General features: G+C 40.3%; 2 annotated features.

The window, feature by feature from the left end:
• Nucleotides 10,088-10,167: an enhancer, noted in NCBI's record as "active region_2299". NCBI's record gives its function as "activates an Ori minimal core promoter by ATAC-STARR-seq in GM12878 lymphoblastoid cells {active_cell/tissue: GM12878}" and the evidence as "EXISTENCE:reporter gene assay evidence [ECO:0000049][PMID:35858748]".
• Nucleotides 10,238-10,327: an enhancer, noted in NCBI's record as "active region_2300". NCBI's record gives its function as "activates an Ori minimal core promoter by ATAC-STARR-seq in GM12878 lymphoblastoid cells {active_cell/tissue: GM12878}" and the evidence as "EXISTENCE:reporter gene assay evidence [ECO:0000049][PMID:35858748]".

Raw genomic sequence — 24,498 nt, forward strand, 5'->3', positions numbered from 1 at the left:
AGACTAGCTTTGTAAGATTAAAAGAAGAGTAAGTTGCTTTTTTTTAAAAAAAAAAAACTGCTCATTGTAAAAAATTCAAATAATAAAAGTATTAAGAATATATATTTATATATATATACCCATTATATATACCCATAATTTTACTACCTAGGAGTGATTACATTAAAAAGTTAACATACTGAGTAATTTTTATAATAATATCAAAGTAAACAAACATCATTTATAATAGTAACTTTATAGTTGCATTTGATAATTTATGTTTTGCAATTCTTAGTATAGAAAGAAATCCGGGCTGGGCACGGTGACTCACGCCTGTAATCTCAGTACTTTGGGAGGCCGAGACGGGTGGATCACCTGAGGTCAGGAGTTTGAGGCCAGCCTGGCCAACATGATGAAACCCTGTCTCTACAGAAAATACAAAAATTAGCTGGGCATGGTGGTGGGTGCCTGTAATCCCAGCTACTCGGGAGGCTGATGCAGGAGAATCACTTGAACCCGGGAGGCGGAGGTTGTGGTGAGCCAAGATCACGCCACTGCACTCCAGCCTGGGTGACAGAGTGAGACTCCATCTCAAAAAAAAAAAGGAAAGAAAGAAAGAAAGAAAGAAATCCATGACATAATACATGAAAAATGCAAGTTGCCAAACTGTAGAATCCCACCCTTGTAAAAGACAAGAATAATCCATGCACACTGACATTATTATGTGGTACTCTATTGTACATGTGAAGTACAATTTAATGAGCAAGTAATTTGTTTCCAAATTACACTCTTACAAGTAGAACCATCATATATGGTCTTGTTGCACTTGCACAATGATCTCCTTTGTATAAATGTTTAGAAGTATTGCTACCACAACTTATAAAAACATTCTTGAGTGTGTCATCTGTTATAGCTCTCCAAGTTTTGCATTCTCTGTAAATGTGATAAGTACACCTCTTTTCCAAATCCAAGTAATTGATAAAAATGTCAAACACAAAACTCAAATCGAGTGTTAACCTTTTCTACAAAGCCTTTGGCAATGGCTTCCCTTCTCCCACCTAGAATTAATTGCTCTTTTCTTAGTGTCCCCAGTGAACCCCATTCAGATTTGTATAGCAAAACATCTATAATACTCTATCATTCTTGTTTTCTTTTAATGTGCTTTCCCATGGAATCTATTAGATGGCAAAGAACGGTACTTCCAAGTTTCACTTAGCTGCTGCCACCCCACACAGTTTCTCGCACATAGTAGGTCATAATTATGATTGAAGTGAATGAATGAATAAGTGAATGATTGCAGAGTTCTATACAGAATCAAGGACAAATTCCCACAGCATGCCATGAAATGTTCATTTTTAGGCTGATTTAAACCTGATCATCTCAGAACTTTGGTTGCAGTTAAGTCATTGGTTCATTCACTTTGTCATTTATCCACCTATTTATTCTATACAGGAGTCATTTCTTTATTTGTTTCTTTGTAAAATTTATTGAGTACTTAAAATGCTGCAAAGTCACTGAGGTAAAGGCTATGGGGAAAGACAAAGGCCACGATGGAGGTATAGAAAAAATGCTTTCAGGATTCAGAGAAGCAAAATCATTTCCATAGCTCAGAGAGGATGATGGTGGTGGGAGTTAACATGGATGAGTGAAGGGGGTAGTAGTGGGCAAACGTTTTCCTTCTTTAATTTTAATTGGATCAATTAAATAAATAAATTTGATTTGGGCCTTGAGGCAGAAATAGATGGATATGCAAAGATGGCGGAAGGACATTATAATTACATGTGCAAAAGTGATAAGAGGATAAAGAAAGCACAGAGCAATGGGATAAAAACATAAGAAAAATAAAACCACTAGCATTCCAATATGTATTCAACAGCAAGCTAACAATATAACAGGAGAAAAGCGATAGCAAAAAAATGAGACAACATTCTGAAGAATTTCACATAAAAGAAGATTCGAATACCTGTAAAGATATGTGTCATGTAAAGAAACTTGCCTTATACTTCGACAGGAAGATTCATTGTAAAGACATTTATTCTCCCTAAATTAATTATTAATTTTAAAATGTAATGCAATCTTGGCTGGATGCGGTGACTAACACTTGTAATCCCAGCACTTTGGGAGGCCAAGGCGGGCTGATCACTTGAGGCCAGGAGTTCGTGCCCAGCCTGGCCAACATGGTAAAACCCCGTCTCTATTAAAAATACAAAAATTAGCTGGGCGTGATGGCGCACGCCTGCAGTCCCAGCTACTCGGGAGGCTGAGGCAGGAGAATCGCTTGAACCGGGGAAGCGGAAGTTGCAGTGAGCTGAGATTGAGCCACTGCACTCCAGCCTGGGTGACAGAACAAGACTCCATCTAAAAACAACAAAAACAACAAAAAAAAAAAAAAGAAAGAAAGTAAGTAAGTAATGTAATCCAATCCCAATCAAAATAACAATAGGAATTTGAAGGGGTGCAGGGCTTGACAGAAACACACTGAAATTCATCCAAGAAAATAAATGTGTCAGACAGCAATTCCCAGACTTTGCTGCATGTTCTAATCAGTAGGGGAACTTCTGAAATCGCATTGATTTCACTGGGTCACATTGAGAAGCATCCCAGGTGACACTGAGAGTATGCAAAACATTTCCGAAAAAAGAAAGATAATAAGGGGATTAGCTCTACCACCTACCAAAATATACTCTAAAACTATAGCAATTGAAACAATTTGGCACTGACATGGGAGATACAATAGACAGTGAGGTGAAATAGAGCCCAGAAATAGATCAATATACATGGAAATGTAAGATAGAAGTTAAAGTGGTCAAAAAATCTGGTGCAACTGGCTAACCATTTCAGAGAAAATTGAATCTCTTCCTTATCAGTTCTGAATGACTCTCCTCTCCCTACCTCTCCTCCTGTCCTCTGTGATCCAGCTTCCGTGCAACAGCCAGAGTAATCTTAAAATCCATGATCAGATCCTGCCTCTTGTAAACTGTTCAATGGCTTCTACTCACTTAGAAGGAAATCCCAACCCTTGATGGTGACTTCCAAGCCCGGCTCTAATTGGTCTAGGCCCTCTCTTCAGCCTCCTTTCTGCTTCTCTCCCTTTGGCTTCTTCTGCACCGATACACTATTCTGTGAGTCCCAGAACACCCCACGCCCTTTCCACGGCAGGGCTTCTGCGTTCTCCTTGCCCCTCCTGATCCTTATAAAACTAGCTTCCTCTTGCATTCAGGTCTCAGATTCAACGTCACCTTCACCGAGCGGCCTTTCCTGACCTATTTAAGACATTCTCCATCCACTACTCATAATTCTCCATCACTGCATCCATCTGGACACCCCACTTACTTCTTTACTAGCTCTTACCATAATCGATGATTATGATGAATATCTGTTTTTTTTTTCTCCAACTCTCTTAAGCTACATAAGAGAGGACCTTGTTAATATTGTCACTCCTATAGTCTCAGGATCTAGCACATAGTAGGTGCTCAATAAATATTTGTTACACGAGAGCTTTGTGTGAGGTAGAAGCTGAGCCTGAGGTCTAAGAGAGAAATTGTTCTTGTTCCACCAGTGGAACCCCGCAACTGCTTTGCATGACTGTAGTGGTACTCTGGGAGAGAGTTTTAAATCTCAGTCAAGGTGGGTTCCTTCCCCTCTTTAGGAGCTGTATCCCTAGGGTTAGAGTCAGAGTCCTAAGCTAAACTGTTTGCTGAAGCTCTGATGCCCAAACTGGGCATCAAATCCTTCTTAATCACTTTGTGCAGTATAAAGGCCATTCTCCTTGATGGGGGAAACATGGAAACAAAATAATAATAGGTTAGCAGCACAATTCTGATTTTTCTCTGTGACGTGAATAGAATCAGTTAAGATTGTCATAAAATGTTAATGCTAGAAAAATGCCTTGAATGTCATCTCCCAATGATTATAAAACAGTGCAGCCCTTTCATTTGACAGATGAAGTAAATCAGGCCCAGGCAGGTTCAGTGGTCTGCTCAGGCACACGGTGAATAGTGGCAATGAAGTCTGTATCTTACCCACATCTTGATGTGCAGTTGAGCACCTATGCTATAACAATATTCTCTTTGTTACATCTAAGAAAAATCATTTAAAACCACAGCTCATTTTGAAAACTTCATTATTATTCAGTAACTTTATACATCTTCTGCAAGCAGTATACCTAACTCTTTCTTATTCACTTGATTTTAGAAGCTTTAAAAATAATTAATTAATTTGGGGAATGGGCCTAAAGACCCCAAATGAGGACTGTCTACAGAATACAGAGATGGGAAGATGGAGCCACAAGGTGACAGACTTGGGCCTGACTGGTCTTCTCTCTTGCTGTTGTGAAAGAATCTATCCTGGTGTTAGAAAACACCCAAAACAGGCCACCCTGTGAGGAAGCCTCTAAGGATCTGAGCTGATCAAGGGCCTCTTACCAATGTCAAGTCAGCAGTAACAGCAGAAAACCTGGGCTGTTTGAATGGGATAAAATGGTCTTGGCTCATCACCTAGACACTTCTCCCTCCTTGCACTCCTTCTAACCAAAAAGATAATCCAAGAAGAGTTATCTATTTGTTGTAGTATCCAGAGCAAGATGATCTTTGAACTTTACCCTCTTTATGTTGTGGTTATTTTTGATGGAGGGAATATAAGTGCATGCCAACTCCACAGGCATTGCACAACAAAATAATATGAGCCACTGGAAATGCCAATGAGCACCTGCTTGCCAAGGTCTTATGTCAGACTTTTTTTTTTTTTTTTTGAGATGGAATCTCACTCTGTCGCCCAGGCTGGAGTACAGTGGCACGGTCTCAGCTCACTGCAACCTCCGCCTCCAAAGTTCAAGCTATTCTTGTGCCTCAGCCTCCCAAGTAGCTGGGATTACAGTTGCGTGCCACCACACCTAGCTAATTTTTTTTTTTTTTTTTTGTATTTTTAGTAGAGGCGGGGGTTTCACCATGTTGGCCAGGCTGGTCTTGAACTCCTGACCTCAGGTGATCCGCCTGCCTCAGCCTCCCAAAGTGCTGGGATTACACGCATGAGCCACTGTGACCAGCCGTGTCGGACTTTTACGATTGAGTAACAGTCTTTAAAAAAAGTTTATTAAGATACTGTGGCCTTAAGAAAACCAGAGCAGATATCACTATTTAAAAAATAATAATGTTATCTCAGTTTACTGTGATACTTGGGATCACTGCTAGTTTAATTGTTTGTTTGTTTTTGAGACAGGGTAGCCCAGGTTGGAGTGCAGTGGCGCAACCGTGGCTCACTGTAGCCTCAACCTCCTGGGCTTAATCGATTCTTCTACCTCAGCCTCCCGAGTAGCTGGGACTGCAGGTGCATGTCACCATACCCGCCTAATTTTTAAAATATTTTTTGTAGAGGCAGGGTCTCACCATGTTGCCCAGGCTGGTCTCAAGCTTCTGGGCTCAAGCAAGCCTCCCTCCTTGGCCTCCCAAAGTGCTGGGATTACAGGCATGAACCACGGCGCCCGGCCTTAGTTTAATTGTTAAAGTCTACTCTACATTATGAGCAATTATTCTGACTTGGCTAGGATCAGTGTGGCCATCTTATCTCTGTCTTCAATACTAGGCAATGCTTTAATCAAAAGACCTCAAAGCACTTTGAATAGAATATAATTAAACCTTCGGTTCCTGTGGAAGAGTTCTGTTTTGAATTGCCAAAGTATGCAAATTCATCTTTAATCATCATATAATTACATTTTAGGATCTTGCCAGAAAATGTAACCTTGAACTTACTGTACCCTGTTCTTATCGAAGCCCAGTTATGAAAAATGATACCTATGGGATGATTTCCAGAAAGATATACAGCCTGCCCCTTCCTACTTTTTCTCAATTTTGTCTGGAACCAAGCCAGACCATTAGAGGATCATATACTAGATTGCAATGTTTTTAACTGTCTTAGGATTGTTTTTTTATAATGCCTTTATTGAGACATAAACATATCACTCATTTGAAGTGTGCAATTGAATGGTATTAAGAATATTCACAGAGTTGTGCAAATGTCACCACAATTTTAGAAAAATTTTATCATTTCTAAAAAAAAAAAATCTGTGCCCTTTAATTATTACCTTTTCCCTAGTCTTTCTACTCCTCCCCCTGCCCCCAATCCTAAACAACCACTCATCTACTTTCAGTCTCTATAGGTTTGCCTATTCTGGAAACTATATAAATGGGATCATATTATATGCCATCTTTTGTGACTGGCTTCTTTCACTTTTTCATTGTTTAACATAATATTTTCAAAGTTCATCTGTGTTGTGGCATGTATCAGTACTTCATTCCATCTTTTTTTTTTTTTTAATTTAAAAGACAGGTTCTTTCTACGTTGCCCAAGCTGGAGTGCAGTGGCCATTCAACAGGTGGGATCATAGCACACCGCAGCCTCAAATTCCTGGGCTCCAGCGATCCTCCCATCTCAGCCTCCCAAGTAGCTGGGGCTATAGGCATGTGCCACCACACCCAGCTATTCCTTCTTATAGCCAAATAATATTCCATTGTATGGATCATTTTTTTTCTTTTCTTTTCTTTTTTTTCTGAGATGGAGTCTCACTCTGTTGCCCAGACGAGTGCAGTGGCACAATCTTGGCTCACTGCAACCTTCACCTCCTGGTTCAAGCAATTCTCCTGCCTCAGCCTCCCAAGTAAGTAACTGGGATTACAGGCACACCACCACACTCGGCTAATTTTGTATTTTTAGTAGAGATGGGGTTTCACCATGTTGGTCAGGCTGTTCTCAAACTCCTGACCTCAGGTGATCCACCCGCCACAGCCTCCCAAAGTGTTGGAATTACAGGCGTGAGCCACCGTGCCAGGCCCATTATATGGATCTTGCACATATTGTTTATTCATTCATCAGTTGATGGGCATTTGGGTTGTCTCCACCTTTGGGACATTATGAATAATGTGGCTATGAACATTCATATGCAGGTTTTGGGGTGGACATATGTCTTCATTTCTCTTGAATGTATACCTAGGACTGGAATTGCTGAATCAAATGGTACTTTCATGTTTAAATTTTTAAGGGACTGTCAGACTGTTTTCCACAGTGGTGTGTGAGGGTTCTGATTTCTCCAATCCTCTTGAACATTTGTCATTATCTGACTTTATTACAGCCATCCTACTCAGAGTGATGTGGTGTCTTGTGGTTTCGGCTTGCATTTCCCTGATGACTAATGAAGTGGAGCATCTTTCCATGTACCTATAGGGTCATTTGTATATTTTCTTAGGAGAATTGTCTATTCAGATCATTTGCCCATATTAGTTAAATTGAATTATTTGTCTTTTTCTTATTTAAGAGTTTTTTTAATATATTTTAAAAGAAGTCCCTTATCAGATCTATGATTTGCAAATATATTCTCCCATTCTGTGGGTTGTGTTTTTACTGTCTTTCTTTCTTTCTTTTTTCTTTTTTTTTTTGAGACGGGGACTGGTTCTGTCACCCACGCTAGAGTGCAGTGATGTGATCTCGGCTCACTGCAACCTCCGCCTCTTGGGCTCAAGCGATCCTCCCACCCCAGCCTCCCAAGCAGCTGGGACTACAGGCTCATGCCACCACACCTGGCTAATTTTTGTATTTTTTGTAGAGGCAGATTTCACCATATTGCCCAGGCTGGTCTTAAACTCCCAAGTTCAAGTGATCTGCCTGCCTTGGCCTCTCAAAGTGTTAGGATTACAGGTGTGAGCCACCATACCTGGCCCTGTTGTTACTTTCTTGATAGTGTTCTTTAAAGCACAAAAGCTTTTAATGTTGTTGAAGTTAAATTTATTTTTTATTGTTGATGTTTGTGCTTTTGGTGTCATGTCTAAGGGTCCATTGCCAAATCCAAGATCACAAAGATTTACCCCTATATTTTCTTCTAAAAGTTTCCTAATTATTGCTTACATTTAATGTTATTGCTTACATTTAGGTCTAATCTATTTTGAGTTCATTTTTGTATATGGTGTGAGGTAAGGTTCCAACTTCATTCTTTTGCATGCAGTGATCCTAGGATTGTTTTTCTCAAAGGCCAGTTAGGCATTCCAATAAACATCTCCATAGAACACAACTTTGTATGTTTTGAAGAGATGTGGTTGACAATAGTGTTCACTACATCACAGTGTTCATTACATCTTTTATGAAGATCTGCATAAGAAATTTGCTTCCAGGAAACCAGATTTGCTCAACTATTCACTCACTCACTAAATCACTCATTCATTCCCTCACTCACTCACTCAATCAATTCATTATTTAGTACATATACTTAAAATGCTTTTTAGGGGATTCACCTGAGGGCAGGGGACTTTGTTTCCAAGAAACTTTATCCGATAAATAAAATGAACTTGACACAGATTGGATACTTTAGCAACTGAGAAGCTCAGACTCAAACATGCTGCCCATCTCTATGAATACCTTATGCCAGTGGTCCCCAACCTTTTTGACACCAGGGACTGGTTTCATGGAAGACAATTTTTCCATGGATGTGGAGGTGGCACGGATGGTTTCAGGATGAAACTGTTCACCTCAGATTATCAGGCATTAGATTCTCACAAGGAATGCACAACCTAGATCTCTCATAGGCACAGTTCACAAGAGGGTTTGTGCTCCTATGAGAATCTAATGCTGCTACTGACCTGACAGGAGGCAGAGCTCAGGCGGTGATGCTTACTCGCTTGCACTCACTCCTGTCGTGTGGCCTGGTTCCTAATAGGCCACAGACTAGCACTGGTCAGTGGCCTGGTGGTTGAGGACCCCTGCCTTATGCTTAAGGTGAACATTTTGTGTATACTACTGACTGATTTGACCTTATTTTCCTGCCGTTATATTCCTCGGATTTCCTCATGTTTTATTTTGATTCTGCTGTATCACATGCATCCCTGGAGCCACCCCAAATTGTATTTTGGAACAAAATGAGGTAGAAATAAGTAAACAAAAACTCCCAAAGTATGTTGGTATTTTTGGGCATTTCTCGAATTTCGCCTCATTCTGTGGTTCCTTATTAACATGTCCAAATTCCATACTAGAATTTATGGGCAAATAATAAGTCTCATTAACCTTTGTATTCTGTGCTGCCCCTCTCCAGCCCCTAGGTGAATTCCCTAAAAAGTACTTAAAATGTATCTACTTAATGACTGATTGAGTGAATGAGTGAGGGAACGAATGAGTGATTTTGTGAAGGAGCGAATAGTTGGAAGAATAAATTTGGCCTTACTGAAGGCAGGTGAAGCGCTTCCTCCCTGATTCCATTTTAGGAGCCACTGGGAGAAGACCAACATTCAACACAATAATTCATCCTGCCCACTGGGTAGTGTTTATAATTCCACCCATCTGAGCTTCTTCCCATTATAATAGAAAGCATTTCTCTGTGTGGTCCTCTACATCAGAATCAGCTCAGTTACTTATTAATAATGTAGATTCCTAGGCCTCACCCAGGGGAAATAGAGAAGGAATTACATTTTAACAAGGACCCCAGTAGACTCTTTTGGACCTTAAAGTTCGAGAAATATTGCCTTGAAATGATAAGATTTGGAAAGGGTATCATTTTAAGTGGTTATTGGTGCTTTATGACCTGGTGTGAATGATTTTTGCGTAGAGAAAAGGAAAAATGTGTTAGGACCCCAAAAACATCAATGCAAGAATACGCCAAAACACTGTCTTTAAAAAATGTACCTATGGTTAGTTTTGTGGGGAAATGAACACAATCTAGTTAAAATTCCATAAACATGAAGATTCAGGTGAGATGGCTTAAATTATAAATTTCATGAATTTTGTTGGCTTATGATAAGGGACACCTATACTGTAAGAAATATGACACTAAAACAATAACTTTCATAAGCAAGGTTACTTTTAGCGATCCCTGTATACATAGATTTCAGATGGCTGGTTGGCTTTGAAAAGAGAATGGAAGGGTTATTTTGGCAACTTTGTACTTTCGTACTGATCCTGAACCGTGTCTTCCTGGAGGCCATTTTGAAGTGTGAAATTGAAGAGAAATACCAGGCAGGTGGCCAAAATTTTAGAGATTGGATGGAAAGTAATTCTTTTTTCTTTTGACTGGGACAGTGAAACCTAAAGATCTCTTCTGCATTTGAAGATGTATTTTTGGCCTACTTTTACAGTACTCGTAAATAACACTTTTTAACTGGAAAACCCCCAAAACTCTCATATAGAAACCAAACCTTGTAATTTTATTCTTTCCTTATGTCAGCATGGGTCATTCATGTTTTGAAAGCAGCTTCAGCAAAATCCCCTGGTTTCAATTTTATTAAGATAACTGTTTCATTCATTCTTTTTGATAATATTCTTCTAAGCCAAACTCATTACCCCAGTTCCTCTTGTGTATCCAGAGAAATCCATTGCCTTGGGCCCCAGCTGGATAGACAACCATCTCAGAACGCAAAATACTAAAAAAAAAGTACCTGAAATAACATCTTTCAGAACCTCTGTGGTGAAACTTGCTTGAACTTTCTAAAACGCATAAGAAAAAGATTGATTAACTTAGTAAAGTTGAATTTTATTTATTTCTTTGAGACAGGAGTCTTGCTTTGTCACCCAGGCTAGAGTACAGCAGCACGATCTAGGCTCACTGCAACCTCTGCCTCCTGGGTTCAAGTGATTCTCCTGCCTCTGCCTCCCAAGTAGCTGTGATTACAGGTGTCCACCACCACCCCCAGCTAATTTTTGTATTTTTAGTACAGACGGGGTTTCACCATGTTGGCCAGGCTGGTCTCGAAATTCTGACCTCATGTGATCTGCCCGCCTCGGCCTCCAAAAATGCTGGGATTACAGGCATGAGCCACTGCACCCAGCTGAATTTTAAATAACAATAAAATAAAAACATATGTGATGTACTGAAGAAAAAAACAAAAACAACTTAAAAGTTCAATAATGAAAACGTGGTTAAATAAATTAAATTTTATCCAAATGATAAACGATTATGCAGCCATTAATTTTTCAAAGAATTTTTAGCAACTAGAAACATTGCTTATGGTAGATACAATTTTAGGAAAGAAGAGTACAGAGTGTGTGATGTCAGTTATATAAATGTATTGAGATTTGCATAATGAAAAAGATGGAAAGGAAATAGCCAAAATAGTAACGGGGATTTTCTCTAGTTGTATAATTTTCTGTGATTCTCATTATCTAAATTTCCTAATTTTTTAAACAAAATAATTGCATTAAATTATGTCATTTTATTTCTTTGGTTTTTTTTTGTTTATTATTTTTAGATTTGTGCTGGCAAAACAAGCATTGTAAGTAAATTTTAAAGTCCGAGCTAGGAACATTAAATTATAGTATCTTTCCATTGTGATTTCCTGTTATAGCACTGATTCCCAATCTCTTGGCTGTCACCCTAATTTAGAAATTTTCCCACCTTAGTGTACAGAAGCTCACCTGGTATGCCCTGCCTCCACCCCGGGTTCCAGATTTGCTAAAGAAAGTCTGAGCACAGGCCCAGGAACCTGCATTTTTAACAGGCATATCTGGTGATCTGATGCAGGTGGTAAGTGGCCCACTTAACAGGCACTACTCTAAAATCTCCTAACCTCATCCCCTCATTTTCGTTTTCTCTCTTCTTATTGTGCCAATCAAATTCTCCTGGAGTAGGGAATAACTTTATACCAGCCTCTTATATCCATCTGGTAGTGGTATTAGAAATTCCTGATGGGAATATGGATCATGGCAGCCATGTGAGGAAGTCATGTGTCAGGGGATCAATTTTCCTGTCTATCCTCTTTATCCAACCTATAAACCCTTTCCATCAGTCTCACTCCATTTATGAAAAAGGTTCCTCTTTGAAAATTGTGTTTAAGGATTCCTTTTTAATCATTGAGCCACTGGTTGAAAGGCTGTAAGTAAGTTATGTAGTCTTGCTAACCCTAAATTTCCTCACCTAAAAAAGGAGAATACTGTAATATCACCTTGTATAGAGGTAGTAAGGATTAGAAATAATATAAGTAAAATACTACCACAAAGCGAGACTCAATCAAAGACAATATTATCATTATTTACAGGGATACAGTTTATTGAGAAGCAAAACAAATCAACCCAATTTATAGTGTAATGTTATTTTCTTGAGCCCACCTGAAAAAAAAGAGTGTCTGAATGTGCAAATAAGAATTACTCTGAGTATTAGACTTCCCATATCAAAAAACTTATAATTGTCACTTTATTTTTCAAAAATAAATGAGCTCTGTTGAGCTAAATCAAAATATATTTAAGAAATAATGTTCATGGCGGTGGAGTATAAAACATAATGGACAGCTTTTGCGGGTGATTAAACATCCAAGTGATGCTGAGACACATTGGATAACCACAAATGTAATGACTGTGAGTACCTGCCAATGCCAAAATCATTATTATTAATACATGACAAGGAAGAGCCAACAAACCACAACAGGAGAGGGGGAAAATAGTGTTTTTTTATCTCTATTACTGTAAGATATGGTTATGGTCCTACAGTCGCGCACATACACACCCACACACAAACACACACTCAAGTTACCTGTTACTTCAGCTGGATTCTGAAGGACATCTAAGTGTTTCATTGTCATGTTGGGTCATCATTTTGCTAAGTAAATTTGATTAATCGTATCATTGATACGATGGGTCTTTACAACAGAAGACTACTTTACCTAATCTGTCCAATATGGTCAACAGAATATGAAAGGCCTAATACCAATGTATATTTGAAAAGACAGATGTGAAAGACCTGGTACCAAAAATATACTCGAAAAGGTAAGGGAAGAGAAATTGACCAATTTAGGGGGAGACAAAAGCAGAAGGTGAAAGAAAGAATCAAAAAAAGAAAATGAATGAAAACATACTACTAATTAAATACAAAATCAATACTAATTAGAACTATAGTATGCATTCATTCAACAAACATCTACAGAATCTCTACTGCATGCCTGGTGATGTAAGAGTCTGAGAGATGAGGCTGCTAGAGCCCCTGCCCTACATTGGTTGTTGAGTTGGGGAGATAGGGTATATGACACCTAGTAGATGAGTTACTGGGAAGCTTTCATTTGTTCAGTCAACAATCATTTAACACCTCTGATAAGCCGGGCTTTATGCTAAGCAGTGATGCATATACAAAATGATGATGAGAATACAACAATTATTTGAGTTCAGAAGAGATAGAGCACTTATGGGATTAGATGTTGGATAACAATATTAGGATAAATAGATATGAGTGAATATTATAATGATGTTATTCAATAGTGACTCAAGCAAATACTGTATCTCTTGTGCAAATGCATTAAGTTAGATGCTTAATAAGTGTTAACTGGGGGCAGATAAATTTTATTTATTTATTTTTTTACTTGATTTTTCTGCTTTTTTTTTTTAATATACTTTAAGTTCTAGGGTACATGTGCACAACGTGCAGGCTCATTACACAGATATACACGTGCCATGCTGGCTCGCTGCACCCATCAACCCGTCATTTACATTAGGTATTACTCCCAATGCTATCCCTCCCCCTGCCCCCCACCCCACGACAGGCCCAGTGTGTGATGTCCCCCACCTTGTGTCCAAGTGTTCTCATTATTCAATTCCCACCTATGAGTGAGAACATGTGGTGTTTGGTTTTCTGTCCTTGTGATAGTGTGCTCAGAATGATGGTTTCCAGCTGCATCCATGTCCCTGCAAAGGACATGAACTCAGGGGGCAGATAAATTTTATTAAAAAACAAAAAGGGAAACATACTTTCTACCTCTTGGTGGTCGTCTTTGTAGTTGCCAACAGGCTAGACTTTTATTTGTTTTGTATTACAAGTGTCCAAATGTGTAATTCTTTCTAATTTATTGATCTACCTTGAATACTATGATGTACCTTGAATACCATCAAATAAGGTCAGTTTAGTTGGCAGGGCATGTCTTCAGAGGAGGGCAAACAGTCTCAGCAGTCTATAAATGCAAATGTACCAATCTGGGGCTTTCTTAGAGAACTAACTGGAGCATTAAATCAGGGAAATAGACAACTAAACTTAAATTTCACATTCAGGCGAGACACACATTCTGAAGTCCTACTTGCTTAAAAGAAAAATTTATAAATGACAATGTTGTTTATAAATATATCAATATCCATACATTTTAAAATATATTCACTCACAGGGCTAAGAAAGTTCTGTATGTTTTATATGTTCTTCATAATCAATAGCCTGTAAGATTTGTATTCAGATTTTAACCCTCACTTACTAAGGACTTAAGAAATAGTAGGGCTTTTGGCTGGATGTGGTGGCTCATGCCTATAATCCCAGCACTTTTGGAGGCCCAGGCGGGCAGATCACCTGAGGTCAGGAGTTCAAGACCAGCCTGGTTTTTAGTGAAACCCTGTCTCTACTAAAAATACAAAAATGAGCCGGGTGTGGTGGTGGGTGCCTGTAGTCCTAGCTACTCAGGAGGCTGAGGCAGGAGAATCACTTGATCCCAGGAGGCAGAGGTTGCAGTGAACTGAGATAGTGCCACTGCACTCCAACCTGGGCGACAGAGGAGACTCTGTCTGAAAAAAAAAAAAATAGTAGGGCTTTTTATCAATACAGTTCAACACACCCTTATTGAGTGTTTTGGAGCAAAAATTACTAAGAGTCCTTAACCTCTAACAGTTCACGATCTAATGGGAAAAAGTCACCCCTTTTTTAGACTATTTCACTTCTCTCCTTTTCCAGGTTAAAGGACACAGTCCTTGTTTCAAGAGCATCTACAGAGATTTCCAAACTCCCTTGCTCCTCCCTGCCCTCCTGCTACTTAGGACGGCTGTCTCTCCTCCCCTCACCACAGGTCCCATTCTCCCCTTCTTTCTTAGGAATGTTTTGCTCTCTCCATGCTTATCCCTTTTCTCTCTGGGAATTTCAATTCACTCTCTCAAAAGAGATTGAAACGTGCTCAGGATTATCTCATCTAAATAAAAACAAACAGCAAAAACCTCCCTAAGACCCTATATCCTTCTTCACCCTTATCGCTCTCTTCCTTTTTACAGTCAAGTTTCTAAAGCATTATGTGTACTTCCTGTGTATTTCCTTACTTCCCACTGGCTCCTCAACTCACTTTAATACAGCTTCCACCCCTTCCCCCCAAGACAGCTCCTACTATCAATTATCTCCCAAATGCCATGGGTACATTTGAGGCCATATCTCTGTCCACCTCCTTGAAATGCTTGGTTTCAGTGATACCGAGATCTCATGTTCTTCCCACGTAGTGACTGCCATGCTGGAGCAGCCTGGCAATAGTGGTCCTTCAATGTCATCCTCGGAAGAAACGAGAGGTGGCTACCATCTCCCCACTCTTCCTCTGCAGATGCTCTTCTACCCTAAAGCCCAGAGTCCAGGCTGTCCTTGAAGCAGAGCCTCTCCCCAGATGAAATGACTGGGGTTTTTTGTTTTGTTTTGCTTTGTTTTTTTGAGATAGGGTTTCACTCTGTCGCCCAGGCTGGAGAGCAGTGGCGCAATCAGGGCTCACTGCACCCTGATTGTTTCTATTTACAGAATTTTTATAGAGGAAACATGGTCAGGCTCCAGAAGATGGGGAAATTAAAAAAAAAAAAGAAAAAAGAAAAAGATGGGAGCAGAGGGAAGAGAGGTTTTCGGGCTGGGAATTGGACCAGGAAATCTTCCTTGCCTTTCCTCCTCTCCATTCTTGCCCCTACATCTTAAGGTGGCTCCCATCTACCTATTTACATAAGAAAAGGAAAAGGTGCTGAACTTCACTGTGACTTGGAAATGGGGATTAAAAGGTACATTGGAAGGGTTTTGGACAGGATAGAACTGTGGTGTAAATGCTTTATAAATCAACACATCATTGATCAGTTAAAAAATTTTAGAGCGTGTAACCATCTAGATTTGCCTCAAGACATAAATGACCCGGATTTCAGAGTTTTAGGAACATGAGATAATGTTGGAAAGTTTTTCTCTGTAAAAAAACAGTGTGATATACTGGAATACCAGAATTCAGAAAGCTGGAGTTGAAGTCAGGTCTCTACCTTTTTGGCCCCTCCTCAGCCTCATTCTTCCTTCCCCAAACTTTAAAGGCTAGAATTTCCCATGACTAGTCCCAAACACTGTACTTCTCTCACACCCAACCTCTCCTGAGGCCGTCTGTCTTAGCTGTGACCATAGCCTGGTGACACTCACATTTTTTTCCTTTTCTTTTCTTTTCTTTTTTTTTTTTTTACAGAAACAGTCTCACTATATTGCCCAGGCTGGTCTCAAACTCCTAGGCTCAAGCGATCCTCCCACCTCGGCCTCCCAAAGTGTTGGAATTACAGGCCTTAATTTTATCTCCAGGCCTGATCACTCACTTGAGCACCAGACACAAATGTCCAGCTGCCAGCTCGGCATCTCCACTTGCTTATCTCAGGCCACACATGGTTTTTCAGGGTTCCCTCTGTCAGGAATGACAATGCCATCCACCCAGTTCTGTGAACCAGAACATTTCCCCCAGTCCTGATGACTTTTCCTCCTGAACATAAGCTGGGTTTGTAAGCTTCTCCGCATCTTCACCATCCCCCCAGCTCACACCTCCATGGTTGTGCCACCAGGCCGCTCCAGTAGCATCCCAACAAGCTTCCTGCATCCAGGCAGGCCCTTCTCCAGTGTATTCTTCTCAAGTAACAGTAATGATCTTTATAAAACTCAAGCCACATTATATTGTATCAGCTGTTACTTAACGCTCTCTAAGAGATTCCCACTGCTCTTAGGGCAAATACTCAAATCCTGAACATGGTCTACTAAACCCTATCCAGCCTGACGCCCGTGTACCTTCCAGTCTCATCTTGCACAGTCCTTGCTTTCAGCTCTGGCCTTATTAAATGTCTTTTAGTTTCTTCAGTACATGACACTTCCTTCAGCCACAGGGCCTCTGCGCATGGTGTTTCCTCTCCCCAGAATACCCAGTCCCCACTAATGAACACTTACACTTTTCACCTTTCCACCTAGATATCATTTTCCTAATGCCCTAGGGCCTGCCTGCACTAGGTACGGTTCCCCTGGGGCATTCTCTGTCTTTTTTTTTTTTTTGAGATGGGGTCTTGCTCTGTCGCCTAGGTTGGAGTGCAGTGGTGCAATCTCGGCTCACTGCAGCCTCTGCTTCCTGGGTTCCAGTGATTCTCCTGCCTCAGCCTCTGGGTAGCTGGGATTACAGGCATGCGCCACCACGCCCAGCTAATTTTTGTATTTTTAGTAGAGACGGGCCAGGCTGGTCTCAAACTCCTGACAGGTGATCCGCCCACCTCGGCCTCCCAAAGTGCTGGTATTACAGGTGTGAGCCACGGCACCCGGCCTCCCTGGTGCATTCTCTTATACTGCCATGCATATCTTTCCTTTATAGATGTATCCAATGTAAACCCAGTTGGATCTAGTTTTAATTGTATGCTTCTTATGACTTACTTTATTTTGTGATTTACTAGTCTACAAACTCCATGAAAACAGGAATAAGGTCCGGTGCTGTTCACCCTGGTATTCCCAGTACCTATAACATTACCTAGCACATTTTTAGGCACTCCATTGAAGATTAACCACCAAAGTACATTAATTTGAATAACCATAAGTTATCTCACGATGACTTTAAATTTTAAGTCATATAGTTCCCCTTTCCCCTTTCATTTTTTCTCAAATCTTTCTTAAGCCTCTCCTACATTTTCTCACTCCCTTAACCTCTTTTAAACCTTCTCACCTTTGCCTCCTGTCCTCTGTTATCAGAGACCTTATTTGATAACATTTATTTTTGTTTATTTATTTATTTATTTTTCTCATTCTGTTGCCCAGGCTGGAGTGCAGTGGCACGATCTCAGCTCACTGCACCTCTGCCTCCCGGGTTCAAGCGATTCTACTGCCTTAGCCTCCCAGGTAGCTGGGATTACAGGTACCCGCCACTATGCCCAGCTAATTTTTGTATTTTTAGTAGAGACGGGGTTTTGCCATGTTGGCCAGGCTGGTCTCAAACTCCTGACCTCAGGTAATCCACCCGCCTCGGCCTCCCAAAGTGCTGGGATTACAGGTGTGAGCCACCATGCCCAGCCGATAACATTTAACAATATAAAGTTGATATAAGTTGTTCCCTGAGTATTCTTGAGCCTGTGGAAAAATAAAAAATCAAAGTTTTTACTTTCTTCCTTGTGTTTTTCCCTCCAACCCTTTGGCACTGGCTATTAGATTACCCATGAACAGTAGCCAGGGATGACTATGGGCCTGTAGGACTGTCACAGTAGACAGTCTCCTTCTAGGTATTGTTAAATACCTTTTAGAAGTTGGGTCTGGAAGATGATGGTGTCTCAGTTGTGACCTTGTGTCCAAAATACCTCGTCAACCAGCTTTCCATCCAGGGGGTCTAGCATGTGCCCTCTTAGCCTCCTGTACAGCTCCTTGGAAGTACTCCCCAAATTATAATTACTCACTTTGCAATTACATAGTTGTTTAATATCTGTTTCTCCCAGAATTAATCCCCACAGCTGGTTGTTGGCTGTGTCCACACTGCCTGGCACAAAGTAGAAGCTCAATAAATAACATTGAATGAATAAATATAATTAACCAAAGTAAAGATTTGGCAGACTTTCCCACTTGGTTATGCTTTTCTCTGGACAGCTAAATACTCTCATTAAAGGCTATCATTGCTGTACATTAAATACTATCATAAATATCAGTTATACTAACACTAGTAATTACACTGAAATTAAAACTATATAATTTAGAGCAACATTTAGAGAAATGCAAAAATGAGGGTACAGTTACTTTTCACATAAATCCTTACTCATTTGATAGCTACTTATCTTTTTCATGTTTTTTCCCTCAGGCTGAAGTAGAAAGTGTCATATTTAAGGTCTTTTCCATGTCTAGAAACTCAAATGGTTTCAAGAGCTATCATAAGCATCTTCCTTGAGATTCAAATGCAACAGTGATTTGAGTATTTTCTACACACCAGGCGCAATGTTAAATATTTCCCCTGTACTATTTTATTTTCTCCTTATTATATCTCTCTAGAGTGGGGATTATCTTTTTAAACCCAACTCAACTTTTCCTTGGTATGATTTGTGTAGTGTCTTCTTAAAATTTCCAAGCAGCTTTTTTTTGAGATGGAATCTCACTCTGTTGCCCAGGCTGGAGTGCAGTGGCTTGATCTTGGCTCACTGCAACTTCCACCTCCTGGGTTCAAGAGATTCTCCTGCCTCAACCTCCCGAGTAGCTGGGATTACAGGTGTGCAACACCATGCCCAGCTAATGTTTCTATTTTTAGTAGAGATGGCGTTTCACCATGTTGGCCAGGCTGGCCTCAAACTCCTGACCTCAAGTGATCTGCCCTCCTCTGCCTCCCAAAGTGCTGGGATTACAGGCATGAGCCACCGCACCTGGCTAAGCAGCTCTTTAAAACTGCAAGTCTCCTTATTGTGTGTGTATGCAGACAATTGAGGTTTAAAAGTTTCTTTAAACACCATCTGAATTAAAAGTTAAATGTTAAAGTATAGAAAAATCAGATGTACTTATTACCTCTTTGGAAAAATGATAATTTCCTAAGCTTTGAAAAAAAAAAAAGAAATCACAAAAGAACAGATTCCAGTCAAAGACAATAAAAATATTGCTGAAATGAGGGTGTTATAAGAAAAAAAAAAACACAATAAGTATTTAAAACACAAAAACTACTAAATAAGAGGAAGTTGGGAAACATATCTCAAATATTATACAGAGAGACTCTACTTACTGCTAATAAAATCCCTCATAGATGAATCACTTGAACTTGGGAGGCGGAGGTTGCAGTGAGCCGAGACCGGGCCACTGCGCTCCAGCCTGGGAGACAGAGCAAGACTCCGTCTCAAACAAACAAACAAAAATCCCTCATAGATGCTATGTTATTCCATCATATGGGGTGAGCTATTTGACATTGGGGTGATCCGAATCCTCCACCAGGGTAGACTTCACATCTTAGTTATCTTTCTCTTCCTGACATCTTCCAAAACATCTGAACAATTGTAGACATGCACGCATGTACATACATACAGGCACACATGCACATACAGGTGCACGTGTGTGCAATGCACATAATACATCTAATAAATAACCTGGCAAAAAGTAGACTTTCAACAATTTTATTAAACTAAACTAAATTGTCTTAATCATTATTTGTTGAAATTTTATTTATTCTTTTTTTTTTGAGACAGAGTCTCACTATTGCCCCAGCTGGAGTGCAGTGATGTGATCACGGCTCACTGCAGCTTCGACTTCCCAGGCTCAATTGATTCTCCTACCTCAGCCTCTCAAGCAGCTGGGACCACAGGCACACACCACCACACCTGGCTAATTTTTGTATATTTTTGTAGAGGTGGGGTTTCGCCATGTTGCCCGAGATGCTCTCAAACTCCTGAGCTCACCTCAGTCTCCCAAAGTACTGGAATTACAGGCATGAACCCCTGTGACTGGCCTATCTTCGTTTTGAATTTTAAAGGTACAGTCAGACATTTCACATGAAATACATTAGGAATCAATGAAAACGTTATATTTTATTTGTATAGGTGTGAAAATACTCAGCTGGATCTAGGGGTATGCTTTGGTTCATCCATCCAGTCGGTATTAAAGCTGATGTAAAAAGGCTCACTGCTATCGTTTGAATGTGTCCTCCGAAGTTCGTATGTGGGAAACTTAATCCCCAATGCATCAGTGTTTGGAGGCGGAGTCTAACAACAGGTGGCTAGGTCATGAGGGCTCTGCCTCATGAATAAATTAACGCCGTTATCGCGGGAGTGGGTTTGTTATATCAGGAGTGGGCTCCTTATGAAAGCGTGAGTTTACTCCCCTCCCTTCCCTCGCCCTCTCTTTACTCTTCCACTCATCTGTCATGTGAGGAACAGTGTTCTTCCCCCGCGCCCCCGTAGGATGCAGCATTCAAGAAGCCATCTTAGAAGTGGAAGCCAGGCCCGCAGCACACACCAAACCTGCCAGCACCTTGACCCTGGACTTTCTAGCCTCCAGAACTATGAGCCAATAAATTTCTGCTCATTATTTTTAAATTACACAGAACTTCCCAAACGGTTGGGGTTTTTGTTTTTGTTTTTACTAAATTGTGATTGTTATCACTAACACAAATATTTAAGTTTACTTCTATATCTTATAGTAATAGGAATATAAATATATTAGAAAATGGTTAGAAAATAAACTCAGAAAGGATTTGGGCATATTTTATCAGTCCTATTTTGCTATAGTTCTGTACTCTCTTGCTTCTAATATAAAATGTTCAATATTCTAGAAAGGAGATAACATGCCTTCACCCACAGTGAGGCTGGAAATGTGGGACCAGGTGGGTTCTCCTTCTATTCTCATTGTCTGCCTATTTCTCAACCTTAAGCAAAATATTCGACACATATTAGTCACAGTCATGTCCTTAGTTTTTTTTCTTTAATATTTCATCAGATAGAAATCATGTGGTATCTACACCTAGCAAGGACCTTCACAATGTTTTGTCTCAACAGAGGGCTGACCCCTGAGACCTGTGCTAATTCTAAGACAGCTGAGGCCCCAGGAAGGTATTTCATCTTCTACTTCCCTTGAATCCCTTTCTGTACTCAGCACAGTACTGCAAACATAGGAGGACCGTTTGAGGCAGAACTGTTGGGGGTTTTTTGTTTGTTTGTTTGTTTGTTCATTTGTTTGAGACAGAGTCTCACTCTATGGCCCAGGCTGGAGTGCAGTCGTGCAATCTTGGCTCACTGCAACCTCGCCTCCCTGGTTCAAGCAATTCTCATGTCTCACTCTTCCAAGTGGCTGGGACTATAGGCACGAGCCACCGCGCCCAGCTAATTTTTTGTATTTTTAATAGAGAAGGGGTTTCGCTGTGTTGGCCAGGCTGGTCTCAAACTCCTGACCCCAAATGATCTGCCCGCCTTGGCCTCCCAAAGTGCTGGGATTACAGGCATGAGCCACCACGCCTGGCCAGAACTGATGTTTTTGGTTTTGGTTTTGGTTTTTTTGGAAATAGGGTCTCTCTCTGTTGCCCAGGCTGGAATGCAGTGCCATGAACATGGCTCACTGCAGCCTAGACCTAATGGGATCAAGCGATCCTCCTGCCTCAGCCTCCAAAGCAGCTGGGACTACAGGAGTATGCCACCACACCCAGCTAATTTTTTAACAAAAATTTGTAGAGACAGGGTCTCACCATTATGCCCAGGCAGGTCTTGAACTCCTGGGCTCAAGCAATCGTCCTGCCTTGACCTCTCAAAGTGCTGGGATTACAGGTGTGAGCCACTGTACCTTGCCTTACTGCTGCTTTTTACTAAAGAATGTGTGGTAAAATGTACAATATGAAGAGTAGATAGTACACTCAGAATTTACCAAAAAGGAGAAAAACAGAATAACAGTAGGCTGCATTTGAAGTATAAAATTTGGTGATCTTTAAAATTAATTTCTTTTCTTTTTTTTTTTTTTGAGATGGAGTCTTGCTCCATCATCCAGGCTGGAGTGCAGTGGCATGATCCCGGCTCACTGCAACTTCTGCCTCCCAGGTTCAAGTTATTCTCCTGCCTCAGCCTCCCGAGTAGGTGGGATTACAGGCGCCTGCCACCACACCCGGCTAATTTTTGTATTTTTAGCAGAGATAGGGTTCCACCATGTTGGTCAGACTGGTCTCAAACTCCTGACCTCAGGTAATCCACCCTCCTCGGCCTCCCAAAGTCGTGAGATTACAGGCATGAGCCACCGTGCCCGGCCTAAAATTAATTTCATAAAAGAAAAACAAACCCAATACACCACTATTTTATAGTGCCTAAAACAGCTAGCTTTAGCTCTTATTTTTAAAGTAACCAACACCAAGAAAGTCCTAATAGTTTTATACATACCTACGTCAGACAATTTTTAAAAAGTGGCGGTAATTAAATTCAATGACAATTTGGGTGGCTTCTTGTTTAAGACATGAAACTAAAAGCCAAAAGGAGCTCAAAGATGAAGTCCACTTGTCATTGCCTTGAAAAAATTAAAGTATAATAAATAATGACATGGAAATAACTAATATAGAGCAAAATTTTAGACTTATAAGTGAGAGATCAGGTGATGGAATAGAAGGGGCAGACAGGAAGATTTTATGGAGGAAATAACCTTTCAACTGGACCTTGAAGAAATAGCAAGACTTTGACAGACAAAGAGGAGGATATTCCACGCACAAGGAACTAAATAACATCCATGAAAAAAATCAATAAAGCCCATGCCTATGTTGACATTTCTGTTCTCAACTGAACAGTCACTTCAGTTACCTGAAGACTGTCTCTCTTTCTTTGAGTTGTTAATCTAAAGTTGTGCTTCTGAGCAGAGCTATTTTTATTTCCAGAAGTACCACCTACCAAACTAGAGATCAGCCACTGTCACTAAGTTATAGCCCAACTACTTCACGTGGGCCTAGCCCTAGGCAAGTTGAAGGCCTACGGAGAATTTAAGGGTGTGTAAATTCCCAATAATTAAAAAATTTAGACAATCCAATCACGCTGAAAGAGAGTGGCCTATAGTAGCAAGTGTAAAGGCTCTAGAAGAGATGATTGGGACTTGGTTATCTACTAACATTGAACCTAGTTTCAATTCATTGTCCTTTTGGAGACTTTCATCAACTATTCTTAGTGCAATAGGTTCTGTCAGTGCCTGGTACATAGTAGGTGCACAATACATATTAGGTAAGATATAGAACTTTTTTTTTACATGGCTTTCTACCCTCTTTGTAATAAAAACTATTCACATATTATATTAAAAGTAACTGCTTTGGGCCAGGTGCAGTGGCTCACACCTGTAATCTCAACACTTTGGGAGGCCGAGGTGGGTGGATCACCTGAGGTCAGGAGTTCAAGACCAGCCTTACCAACATGGTGAAACCCCGTCTCTATTAAAAATGCAAAAATTAGCCAGGCATGGTGGTACATGCCTGTAATCCCAGCTACTTGGGAGGCTGAGGCAGGAGAATCACTTGAACCTAGGAGGTGAAGGTTGCATTGAGCCAGGATCGTGCCATTGTACTCCAGCCTGGGCGACAGAGTGAGACTCTGGAAAAAAAAAAAAAGTACCTGCTTTGAACACTCAATTCTACATTTATTTATAGCCTTTTATGTCCAAAATATTGATGCTTTGTGTACCTCTTCAGTTTGCAGGATGTTTTCTCTACAATATCTTATTGGATTCTCACAACAGTCTAGTGGGATCAGTAGGACAAATACCAGTATTGCTGTTTTACAGATGGAACTACTGAGATTCATGGAGGTCAGGAGACTTGTCCAAGGTCAGAAAACCCAAACCTAGATTTAGGCTTAGACATGTCGTCAGTCCTACTTTTCACAGTGTCACAGTTTCCAGACATTAGCAGCATTCCTTATTAGTCTTGCTTAATATTTCTGGCATCAACCATATTAATGTGACATGGTTTATGTAACAACTAATTATATGTCTATCTATCTTTCTATCTATAATCTATCAAGAGAGCAATATATGTAAACAGAAATGACAAAAGCATTTGTATTTTATTTTCAAGTATAAAAACATACTTTTCATTTAAAAATCCTAATGACAAAGCATTGGTT

The sequence above is a fragment of the Homo sapiens genome, chromosome 1 (genome assembly GCF_000001405.40).
Source record: "Homo sapiens chromosome 1, GRCh38.p14 Primary Assembly".
NCBI lineage: Eukaryota > Metazoa > Chordata > Mammalia > Primates > Hominidae > Homo > Homo sapiens.